The sequence below is a fragment of the Homo sapiens genome, chromosome 14 (genome assembly GCF_000001405.40).
Source record: "Homo sapiens chromosome 14, GRCh38.p14 Primary Assembly".
NCBI lineage: Eukaryota > Metazoa > Chordata > Mammalia > Primates > Hominidae > Homo > Homo sapiens.
This window is the reverse complement of record NC_000014.9, coordinates 97153818-97166338: the sequence shown is the minus strand read 5'-3', so window position 1 is coordinate 97166338 and position 12521 is coordinate 97153818. Positions and strand designations below refer to the sequence as shown.

Genomic DNA, 12521 nt, shown 5'->3' with positions numbered 1-12521 from the left:
ATACGGCCAGACGTGGTGGCTCACGCCTGTAATCTCAGCACTTTGGGAAGCTGAGGCGGGCAGATCACGAGGTCAAGAGATCGAGACCATTCTGGCCAACATGGTGAAACCCCGTCTCTACTAAAAATTCAAAAATTAGCTGGGTGTGATGGTGTGCGCCTGTAGTCCCAGCTACTCGGGAGGGTGAGGCAGGAGAATCGCTTGAACCCGGGAGGCAGAGGTTGTAGTGAACCAAGACCATGCCACTGCACTCCAGCCTGGCAACAGAGTGAGACTCCGTCTCAAAAATAATAATAATAATACTATAATAAAAATAAAAAATAAATGAATACAAGGGATGAGTTAGCTCCTTTGCACCAGAACAGAGAACAGTTAGGACATGGCCAGTGAAGCAGAGTGTACCCTTCTGATAGGGCTACCAGGTTAAATTCAGGAGGCCCAGTTAAATTTGAATTTCAGATACACACAAATAATGTTTATAAGTATGTCCCAAATGTCATATTATTTGTTGTCTATCTGAAATTCTAATTTAACTGGGAGTCCTATAGCTTTCTTTGCTAAATCTGGCCACCCTACCTTCTGAACTGTCTCCAGATGGAACATTTCTGCTCCCCAGGATGCCACTCTGCAACTAGAAGGCATGGCTTTCTGTCCATGGAGGTCTCTCCGTCTCCAGCTCAGCCAGAACCAGCTTTGGACATTTTCTGGCTAAGGCATTCCAGGGGAGTTATTCATGGAACTGCACTTCCCTGGAGCTTGAGTCCTTCTGGGGGCTTCATTTTTCCTTCAAGGCATTGAAAAGCTGGGCGAGGGGACCTCCCATTGCTTTTGAGACTGTTTGGTTGACAGAGCCAAGAAGAAAAGAAAGGGAAATAATCTGCAAAAGGAATTTTGGAAGAAATAAAATGTCGGTAGGGGAAGGTTTTCCATGGCAATCTAGAATGACCCAGGAGCTGACCCAGCACGTCCTGCAGCCCTGCCACCACCACCACCAACCTGGTGATGAGCTTAAGGACAATTGCAAAGCATAGGACAAACCATTCGCCCACCTCCCTGCCTCCAGGGACCCCAGCTCCCATCATTACCATGGCCTGACATGATTTTTCCTCCCTACTCCCACTCATTGCTCCTCGACCGGGTCCTCAGCAAGGAAAAACTGGATTCAGACAACCTGGAGTCTAACTCCCCACTCTCTCACTGACTACAGTGGGGGCAAGTTAATTGTCCTTCCTAGTGCAGGCAACAAACAGGCTTAAACAAGCTAATGCAGACAAGCCCTAAAGGACAACGGTGTGTGCCTTGTTCCTCCTGGCAGGGCCATGCCTAGCAGGGTGTCCAATTCATAGTAGATGCTCAATAAATCTTCCCTGTGTCTGAACCTGGAATGAGGAAATGCTGGGCTCCGTGGTCTGTGCTATTCTGATTATAAGGAGAAATAAATGGGCTTTTCTGAAACAGCAGACACTATTCACTACTAAATTCACTTTAAAGCCCACCAGGAAAAAAAAAGGGGGCCTCTCCATCCCTTATCACCACTGAGGAAAGAGATAAGGCTTATACCCAGAATGAATTCAGGCTTATATTTATGTAGAGAAGTAATCACACCATCAAAGCTGAACAAGAAAGTGAAAGGGTGTTAAGACAAATGAATTTAAAAGCACACAATACCAGTCCCTGATTTGCTTTCCCAGGCAATGAAATATTTCAGAAGATTAAAAATGGTTATGTAACACCCAGAATCCACATTGTCAAAAAGATTTGTAACTCAATGTTTTCCTACCCAGGTACCAAATGAAAGAGTTTCATCTTGGGTTTGATCCTGGCAATTTTTTTTAAAGATATAAAATATATTGAAATATTTAAATTGTTTGTCAGATGTAAACTTGCCCATGTCCTGACACTTTTAAAATATATCGTGGCTTCAAACATCACTTCTCCTGATAGGATTTTTTAAGTTGTTTTATAATGCATTAATAGTGAAGATCAGAATCCGAAAGACTACTGTATTTGTAATGTTCACTTTTTTTTTTTTTCCCCTCATCCCCTATAATTTCCAGAATGTAATTCTGCCCCCAGCTGGTTAAAACATCTCTGACATCAGAGAGAAATGGGAAACTTCTAAATGTCTCCATTCATCGGGGACCTTCATCGGGGGAGGACAAGGGCATTTGGCTTGCACAGCTAACAATCGCCTTCGGGAATGAGGTTCCCTCAACTCTGGAAGGCTGTGTTTGTTTGTCAGAGGCAAGTACGCACTATTTCTCTTTATACAAGCAAGGAAACCTAAAAAGAGGGGAATGCATTTCAGAAAGACCCAGGTTTGCTCTCTTCCTCCTCTGGAGCCTTACCCTTAATGAGGTATCGATTGCCTGGCTATGATAATTGTGCCGTCACTGGAGATCAGTCCAGGATGGAAAGTTAATAAAGATGACTATCACACCACAGTCTGCGTCTGAAGGCACGCCAAGGCACTCGGATTTGTTTTCTTAATGTGGGTGTTTTCTCCTTTTCCATTAAGTTTTCTAAAATGTATTCCGGCTTGCTCACACTGCTGCAAGAGCTGCGGAACCAGCATCTCTAGTACTGCAGTGAGCTCTGCTCTCAGTAAGGTGGGTCGTCTTTCTCCCCCATGTCAGCAAGGAGCAGCCAGGGGTGTGGAGCCCAGGCCAGGGTCCGTACGTTTGTAAAGGCTACATCTTTGACCGCCTACACCCCACAGCGACCGTCAGCCACCTTTGTGGTGGAGGAGGGAATTTTGGAGCTCACAAGGGCCGGCCGGATGCGGTGGCTCACGCCTGTAATCCCAGCACTTTGGGAGGCCGAGGCGGGCGGATCACAAGGTCAGGAGATCGAAACCATCCTGGCTAACACGGTGAAACCCCGTCTCTACTAAAAAATAGAAAATAGAAAAAATTAGCCGGGCATGGTGGCGGGCGCCTGTAGTCCCAGCTACTCGGGAGGCTGAGGCAGGAGAATGGTGTGAACCCAGGAGGCGGAGCTTGCAGTGAGCCGAGATCACACCTGAGGCAGGAGAAATGTGTGAACCCGGGAGGTGGAGCTTTCAGGGAGCTGAGATCGCACCACTGCACTCCAGCCTGGGTGACAGAGCAAGACTCTGTCTCAAAAAAGAAAAGAAAAAAAAAAAAAAAAACAAAAAAAAAAGAACTCACAGGGGCCTCTACAGAGAACTCAGAAAATGGCGTTGAAGTCTAAGCTGCCAATCCCCCAGTTCAAGAGAGCAACTGGAGACCTGAGAGGCCCAGGGATTTTTAGTCAGAATGGCTCTTTTAAGATTTTAAGAAGAGGCTCAATGGAATGAGTGAAAGAATAGTGGCATTCCTTATCTGCCTGTCTTAAAATTACCTGGTGCTGACCCTTGGTGATCTAACAGGGCGTAGTCGACAGAAAGGTGACTCTGGAACAAGAAGGTCTGGGTTCAAATCCCGCTTCTGTCAACTCCTATCTTGTGACTTTTGAAGGCCGTTTGACTTCACAGGACCTCCTTTCATTGTTTGTGAAATTTGCAAAGTCATGATCAAGATTTAAAAAATAGCAGTGCGTCTGAAAGTGCTGGTACATTCCTAGGAGTGCCGAGGCACTCAGTGAATAGAAATAGTTCTTCTCTTCCCAGAGTTTAAGATGAGAGTGGCACACTTTTTCTGTAAAAAGCCACATCTAATACATAGTTTAGGCTTTTCAGTTTGTCCTTCCTAGTGCAGGCAACAAACAGGCTTAAATGAGCTAATGCAGACTAAGAGGCAAAATCAAGAGTATGACATACTTATACAATAAGAGGGAAAACATTTTTTCTCAAAATTTTTATTGATGAAATTAAACATGGAATGGTTGGGTGTATTTATTTTTTATCATACAGGTCTGCACGTAAGAAAAATGAATTTTTTGAGATAATATTTTATTTAACATTTGATAGTGTTTCCTATCTTCAAATCAACTGCAAATGTTCATTGTAAAAACTGTTCTCAGCTTGCAAGCCATACACAAACAGGCTCAGGCTGGATGTGACTACAGGCTGTAATTTGCCAACCCTTGGTTTCTGAACAGAAAGCCTTCCCTCCCACACGTGCATCTCGGTTCACGTCCTCTGGCCCCTTTAGGTTCTTGAATCAAACTGCTTGCCTTCCCTTCTGCTGCACTCTGAGTGTTTGTGCCCCCTAAATTCCTGCATTGAAACCTGTCCCCAGTGTGATGGTATTAAGAGGTGAGCCTTTAAGGAGCTCTCACAAATGGGATTGGTGTCCTTGTAAAAGAAGTTCGAGGGAGCTTGTTTATCCCTTCCGCCATGTGAGGACACAGTGAGAAGGCACCGTATGTAAACCAGAAAGTGGTCCCAGACACTGACTTTGCTGGCTCCTTAATCTTGGACTTCCCAGCCTCCAGAACTGTGACAAATAAATGCTCATTGTTTATAAATTGTCCAGTCTATAATATCTTTGTTATAGCAGCCTGAACTAAGATACTTTCACTTACCATAAGACCATGCTCCTCTGTCACCTCTTCTGAGAAGCCTTCCCTGATTCTGCCTTGTCCATACAGAATGAATAGCACCATCTCTTCTTTTATTTATTTATTTATTATTCATTTATTTATTATATTTTAAGTTCTAGGGTACATGTGCACAACGTGCAGGTTTGTTACATATGTATACATGTGCCATGTTGGTGTGCTGCACCCGTTAACTCGTCATCCACATTAGGCATATCTCCTAATGCTATCCCTCCCCCCTCCCCTCACCCCATGACAGGCCCTGGTGTGTGATGTTCCCCACCCTGTGTCCAAGTGTTCTCATTGTTCAATTCCCACCTATGAGTGAGAAATGCAGTGTTTGGTTTTCAGTCCTTGTGATAGTTTGCTCAGAATGATGGTTTCTAGCTTCATCCATGTCCCTACAAAGGACATGAACTCATTCTTTTTTATGGCTGCATAGTATTCCATGGTGTATATGTGCCACATTTTCTTAATCCAGTCTATCATTGTTGGACATTTGGGTTGGTTCCAAGTCTTTGCTATTGTGAACAGTGCCAAAATAAACATACATGTGCATGTGTCTTTATAACAGCATGATTTATAATCCTTTGGGTATATACCCAGTAATGGGATGGCTGGGTAAAATGGTATTTCTAGTTCTAGATCCTTGAGGAATTGCCACACTGTCTTCCACAATGGTTGAACTAGTTGACAGTCCCACCAACAGTGTAAAAGTGTTCCTATTTCTCTACATCTTCTCCAGCACCCATTGTTTCCTGACTTTTTAATGATCACCATTCTAACTGAATAGCACCATCTCTTCTTAACACAGTCTCCTTTGGCTGACTCTGCAGGGAGACAGACAGCCCCTTGAGGGCAGCCCTGGGTTTTCTTATTCAGTGTATTCAGTAGATATAGCCCCAGCACCTACAGAGCTAAGCACATGTCTTTGGGGAAGGAAAGGAGGTAGGGGTTAAATCTGGGCCGCACCAGGGACAAAGATCTTGCCTCCTCCCAGCTATAGAGTAGGAGCCATGGGTGATCAATAACAATAATAAGTGCTAGCACAGACCCAGTGTTCACCACTAACTGGGCATTTCATTGTCATTGTATTATCTCACTTAATCCTTACCCATAGTATAAGGTAGATACTGTTATCTCTCCATTTTACAGATGAGAAAAATTGAGGTCAAATTGCTTGGGTGAGGTCTATGGTAGTGTGCGGTCAAGCCAGGAGTCAAACCTGTGGACATCTCACTCCTGGGCCCATTCAATTGCCCCAGCCCCTGCCTGTGCAGGCTGCTCCTCACACGGCATCCTGTCCCATCTCTACAGCCCAGTGAGCTTCCCTAATATCACCATTTCATTACCATTTTCCTTTTAATCCTCCAATGTTATGAACTTGAAGCCAGACCCCCGAAAGTTCCATATTATATATTGAAGACATTTCCCCAGATGTCCCAATGCTGCTGCTTGTCCCTTTGCCTGTGGTCCAGGCAGAAGAGGTGAAACCAGGTGGGGGAGTCATTGAATGGCCATCCTAAAGGTGCCCTTGGCAATCACATGGGGAAACTGAGGCTCAGAAAGGTGAAGGGCCCTTTCCCAAGTGTCACAGCTCTATGATGATAGAAGCAGAGCCTAGAATAGCAGCAACAGCTATGGAGGCAAAAAAGATGAGGTTACACTGAGCACCAACCATGTGTCAGGCAGTATGCAAAAGAGCTTCCCTGGATGAGCTCCGGCAAATACCCAGTGCCACAGCACTGGGCACCATCATAATGTCCTGGAGAATGAGGTTAGTTCACACATTGGTAAATGAAGGAGCTGAGCCAGCTGGACCTCGCCCAGCCCCATCCCTGTGTTCCTCGGGAAGGTGGATGTGGTGCAGGGGCCACCTCGGACCAAAGGGCCATGCCAGAGTCCCCCTGGCAGGACTGGGTCTGCAGCATCAGGAGTGACCTGATGGTCTCCCCTCAAACTATGTCAAGGCTTTGTGGTTCTGGTATTTCCACCAAGCTGAATAAGTGCCACCAGGAGATCCAAGTTCTGTCTCAGCTGTGCCTCTTCCTGCCCCTATGACTTTGAGAAGGCCACTTCATCTCTCAGAGACTCAAGTTTCCTTCTCAGTGAAACAGAGCTCCTGGTGGCTTCTCAATGGCTCTTGAGTTGGTCTTCAGTCCAAGAGTTCCATTGGCTGTTCAGTTTCATTTCCACCATGCTCCCGTGAATCACCGACCAGTGCCCTGCTCTGCTGAAATCAACCAAGTCCCAATTTCTCTCGCTTCCACACCTAACCCTGTGCCTCCTTCCATCACCTCCTGGGAGTCACCTGCTCTTATGGTTTGGCTGTGTCCCCACCCAAATCTCATCTTGAATTCCCACATGTTGTGGGAGGGACCTGGTTGGGGGGTAACTGAATCATGGGGGCAGGTGTCTCCCATGCTGTTCTCATGATAGTGAGCAAGTCTCATGAGATCTGACGGTATGATAAGGGGGAGTTCCCCTGCACAAGCACTGTTCATCTGCTGCCATCCATGTAAGATGTGATTTGCTCCTCCTTGCCTTCCACCGTGATTGTGAGGCTGCCCCAGCCACGTGGAACTGTAAGTCCAATTCGACCTCTTTCTTTTGTAAATTTCCCAGTCTTGGGTATGTCTTTATCAGCAATGTGACAACAGACTAATACATCTGTCCTCTACCACATCTCCACTCACAGGCCCTGCTGGTGCTGGAATGCAAGGATGGAATGGGTGCAATCTCTGCCCTCAAGGAGCTCACCATCTGCAGAGGAGATGCCACACCCATTCACATGGGTCTAATCTTGGAGGACAGTGACCAGTGCCATAGACAGGGAGGTGTACACTGCTATGGAAGTTTAGAGGTGGAGATTTCTTTAAAAAGAAGAGGATAGGAGGATAGGCAGGCTTCCTGAAGGGGCAGCATCTTAACCTGGAGGGGGACAAGTAGATCTGACTTGGAGATTTGGGTGTTGAGGGAAGGGTCAAGGAGCGAAATAAAAGCAAGCACAGTAGGCCGGAAAGAACCCATTTTACAGATCTGCAAATTGGCTCCACCAAAAGCTTTTCCATCTGCTTTCCCATTTGTCTCCTCTCCCAGAGGGGCTTCCGCTTGTGAGCACCTCCAAGTGGGGATGCTTTCCATCCGAGTCCCAGAGCTCTGCCCAAGCCTTCTGCTCTGCTTTCCCCTATCTTTATACTTTTTTCAGAGCCTTTTAATGGGGTCAAGGCACTGCAAAAAAAAAAAAAAAAAGGCAACTTGCAAAACTATGAATTAGGATAACTTGGGGCACTCCCTTCATCACACACCAGCTGTGGGGCTCTGGCCAAGTGGCCTCCCTGCCGAGCCCTCTTGTCCTAATCAGTAAAGTCAGTGTCTATTACCTGTCCTAGAGAGCCTCTTACTGGGTCACCAAGTACCAAGAGAGAAAAACAGACAGAAGAGCTTTTGGAAGTATAAATTATTAGAGAAAACATGAGCCCATATTATTAGCAGTAACTATTATTACTAATATTAATTAATTACTGTTATTTTAGTAATTAAGTATTATTACTAATGATTTAGTACTAATTACTTATTATTAATTGGCTGCTTATTCTGTGCTCAACCCCATCTGACACTGGGGTCAGGGGCAGGGAGCAGAAGGAATAAAATCCAGGTGAGCCCCTCATGTGTGCCCAGCATGGTGACTTGCCCCTCTCCATTCTTCATAATAGACCTTGTTTTTTTTTTTTTTTTTTTTTTTAAGATGGAGTCTTGCTGTGTCACCAGCCTGGAGTGCAGTGGCACGATCTCTGCTAACTGCAACATCTGCCTCCCGGGTTCGAGTGATTCTCCTGCCTCAGCTTCTTGAGTAGCTGGGACTACAGGCGCCCACCACCACGCCCAGCTAAGTTTTTTGTATTTTTAGTAGAGACAAGGATTCACCGTGTTAGCCAGGATGGCCTCAATCTCCTGACCTCGTGATCCACCCACCTCAGCCTCTCAAAGTGCTGGGATTACAGGAGTGAGCCACCACGCCCGGCCGACCTTGTTTTACAAACAGAGAAACTAAAGTCAGTGAGGTGGCATGCACTGCCCAAGGTGGCACAGCCAGGAAGTAGCAGAAATGGGATTTGAAACTAGGTCCTTCTTCTTACTAGCTGATGCTTCCCAACTGGGGCACAAGCTGCTTAGGATGTCTTTTCCACTGCCCTTAATGTGCTCACAAGTGACATCGGAAAGTCAACATATGCCTCATTCATTCATTCCTATTATCAATGCATTCATTCAGTGACTCACTCAACAATTGAGCATCTACTCGAGGCAGGCCTCTGTGCTAGGCACTGGGTATGCAGGGTGATACCAAGACAGGTATAATAAGGAATGCAGTTTTTACTAAAGTCACAGTCAGCGGTGCAAACAGGCTGAAAAATTGCAGTCCAGAGGAGAGAAATATCAATGTAGGCACTCCCCAGTCATATGACACTTAGGCTACATTGAATGGTCCTAGGAGCCACTTCTTCCCTGTTTTATATTTTTCCCCAGGTAATCTCCTTCGAAGCTATGTCCTTAGATACTATCTCTTTAGAGATGACTCCCAATTTTGAATCTCCCATGACCTCAGATCCTTAAATCCAGCTACCTCCTCAACACCATCACTTGGCTGCATAAAAGGAAGCTTAAATTAAATACGAATGAAACAGAAATCCAGATCTTCAAACAATGCAAACAAATAAAATGAAAAAAAAACTTGTTCAGTCTTTCTCATCTCTGTAAATGGCACTCTAAAGACAAAAACCTTGGTGTCATCCTTGATGGATCTCACTCCCTTCCCCATGATTCACACACAATCACTCAGCGGAGTCTCCGGCTCTGCCTTGAACATACATTCAGAATTTGACACCCTTGCTATCACCTCTGCCACCACACTCAGTCACTGGGACCATTGAAGCCACACCCTACATAATGGTCCCGCCTGTCCCTTGCCTCGCAAACTGTTTTCATTTGGCAACCAGCTGATGTCATTTGCCTCCTTACAAACCTACTTTAGCTTCCCAGCTCAGGGTAAACACCAATTCATGACAGCAGCTCCTATGACCAAACGCAGTCTGCACCTCAACCTCTGACAGCAGCCCCCATCACTCTAGCCTTCTTTCCTCCTGCTCCAGCCACTCTGGCTTCTTGACTGTTCTTGAACACAGCAAGCAATCGCCTGCCTCGGGTCTTTGCACCTGCCCTTCCCTCTGCCTGGAATGACGTTTTCCCTTACTTCCTTCTGAACTCCATTCAACTATCACCTTATCAGAGAAGCCCCCAGTAAAATAACACCTCCAATCACTCATGCCACATTGGTGGTTCTCTTGTTTGGCTTTATTTTCCTCCACTGTCATATTATACACACTTGTCATAGTGTAAATGCATCCATTGCTTGTTAACAGTCTTCCCCCATGAGAATGGAACATCCATGAGGGCAGAAAAGTTGTCTGTTTGCTGCTATTTATGCAGTGCTTAGAACAGTGCCTGGCACAGAGCGGGGTATATGCTCCAGGAGTATGTGCTGAGAGGAAGAAAGGAAGGAGGGAGGAAGGGAGGGAGGAAGGGAGGGAAGAAGCAAAAAAGGAAGGAAGGAGGGGAGAAAGAAAAAGAAGGAAAGGAAGAAACAAAGGAGGGAGTGAGAGAGAGAGGAAAGAAAGGAGAGGGAGGGAGGGAGGGAAGGAGGAAGGAAGGAAGACACTGGACTCCTTGCTAGCCCACAAGCCCACCCTCCTCTTGCCTCCACATCTTGGTCTGATGCTGTTCTCTATGCCTGAAAGCTGCTCTCCCAGCCCTCTCTGCCTGCCGACGTCTTTCTTGTATTTGGAGACAAGCGTCAGCTCCTCCTGGTCTATCCCAGAAGGGAGTCTCTGCTCCCACCTCTCTCCTCCTCCAGCAGTTTGTTTTAGGCACCATCGTAGTCAGGGTCCCAGCAGGAAGCAGAATTTGCCACAGATGGTTCAAATGAAGAATCTTTAATGAAAAGACTCTTAACAGAGGTGAGCAGGGTTAAGAGGACAAAGATAGGATGGCAAGGGCTCAGAGACAGGAAGCATCAGGGAGTGGTTGTCACCCCTAGGACTGAAGGGACAAGAGCAGGAAACTGGAGGCAAACTGTACAGGAGGAGACATCAGGTAGGACCCAAGTTGTGAAGGATGCAGCTCTTGCAAAAGATGCAAAGATAGAAGGAGTGGGAAGAAAAACCTAACCTCCTTTCCCTTCTTGGAAGCCAGGTGGCCAGAAAGCCTGGGCATGAATGGGAGGCTACAGGGCCAAGGTTCAGGCAGCAAAAACAGCATGTGCAAAGGCCCTGTGGCAAGAGAGAGCTTTCAGGGGGTAGGAGGAACTAAAAAGAAACTCAGTGCTGCTGGCCAGCTGAGAGCTGGGGAGGAGACAAATGGGAGAAGGGGTGAAAAAAAGAGGCCGCAGGCGGACCATGTGGGCCTTAAGGATACAAGCCCCACCTCCTGGTTTTCCTGGGGCAGTCCTCAAGGACACCTGTTGTCCCAGAGGAGGCATTAGTAATAAGCTCCACCCCCTAAAGATCCCTGCCATCCCCCCAACACACACACACACACACACACACACACACACACACACACACACACACTTCACTCCCACAAATGGTCCTGATTTGAACAGTAACTTACCTGGCCAGCCTTTCCACAGGGTGTATTGAAGAGCTCTGTCTTCACTGTAAGAGTCGGGATCCCTGAGGGTTGCAGGCAGTGTGCTCATTGCTCGGATTTGCATTTGTAAAGGGTATTCGGGTAGCAATAAAGCAAATGAGTTTTAGGGGCCATGGCATCAGGCCTGATAAAGATGCTATGGAAGTCCTCCAGGGTACCCTCGGACCTGCCTTTTAACATTCATGAGCTTTGGGATAAAATCCAGATGCCTGGGCCAGCTTCCCCCTTCCCTGTGATCTGCCCCACTTCCTTCCAGCCCCACCTCCTGCCACCCGGGCAGCTAGGAGCCCATCCTGCTGCAACACAGGTGCTCATCCTGCATCACAGGCATCACAAGCGCTCATCCTGCTGCAACACAGGTGCTCATCCTGCATCACAGGCATCACAGGCGCCCATCCTGCTGCATCACAGGTGCTCATCCTGCATCACAGGCTTCACAGGCGCCCATCCTGCTGCATCACAGGCACCCATCCTGCTGCACTTCTCGCCACTCCCTCATGGCCCCAAATCCTTGCTGTGCCCAGGTCTCTGCAAAAGCTGTGCCCACACACTGCACCACTCTCCTCTCCTCTCCTCCCCATTGCAGGCAAGCTCCCATTCTTCAAGTGAGAATCTGCTGATACACGCAGGTATTCTGTTAAAGGATCTCGTCACATCATTCTGTTGATGTGACATTTTCCATCTCTCCCCTATTATACCATGAACCACACGAGGATAGAGGGCTTGTCTTTTCCATGACAATATTTAATGTATTTAGTCCAGTGTCAATAAATTAGTAGAAATGAGGGAAAGAAAAGAAAGGGGGAGGGAGAAAGGAATAATGGGAGGAGAGGAGGAAAGGAGAGAGGGAGAGAGGGAAGGAAGAAAGGAAGGAAGGAAGGAAGGAAGGAAGGAAGGAAGGAAGGAAGGAAGGAAGGAAGGAAGGAAAGAAGGAAGGAGGGAAGGAAGGAAGGAAGGAGGGAAGGAGGGAGAGAGTGAGGAAGGGAGGGAGGGAGGGAGGAAGAGAGGAACTCTCAGGTGACTCTAAGCTATTTGTGATTCATCTTTGTTTGCAACTTATCTGGAATCTTGAAGTGAACTTCGGGGACCTGTTAACTTCTTCTTACACAATGCTTTCTGTGATACTTCTTTCCCTTTGTTCTAATTTTTTCCAAATCTCTCAAACTTTCAACGTCCCACACTTCGAGTTACATCGAAGCCCACTCCACTGCAAAAACTTCAACTTGTGATCTTGTTGTCTCAAACATCCTAAGGTTGTATAATAACCAAATGTCTTTGTTCTCACGATGAGAGTATGCATCAAGAATCAAAGA

The 12521-nt window shown here is 46.7% G+C and overlaps 1 long non-coding RNA gene across 1 annotated transcript, besides 1 other annotated feature; it reads right to left on the bottom strand.

Annotated features, from left to right (window-relative positions):
- Window positions 1-7602: 7602 nt before the first annotated feature.
- Window positions 7603-11482, bottom strand: LINC02304 (long intergenic non-protein coding RNA 2304). The gene is made up of 2 exons (NR_146554.1): window positions 11170-11482; window positions 7603-7734 (listed from the first exon to the last, which is right to left on the bottom strand). It is a non-coding gene; the product is annotated as a long intergenic non-protein coding RNA 2304 (long non-coding RNA).
- Window positions 11749-11918: an enhancer, noted in NCBI's record as "experimental_38968 CRE fragment used in MPRA reporter constructs". NCBI's record gives its function as "activates a minimal promoter by MPRAs in K562 erythroleukemia cells, with activity observed for both the introgressed and non-introgressed 14:97620843 variant alleles {active_cell/tissue: K562}" and the evidence as "EXISTENCE:reporter gene assay evidence [ECO:0000049][PMID:34662402]".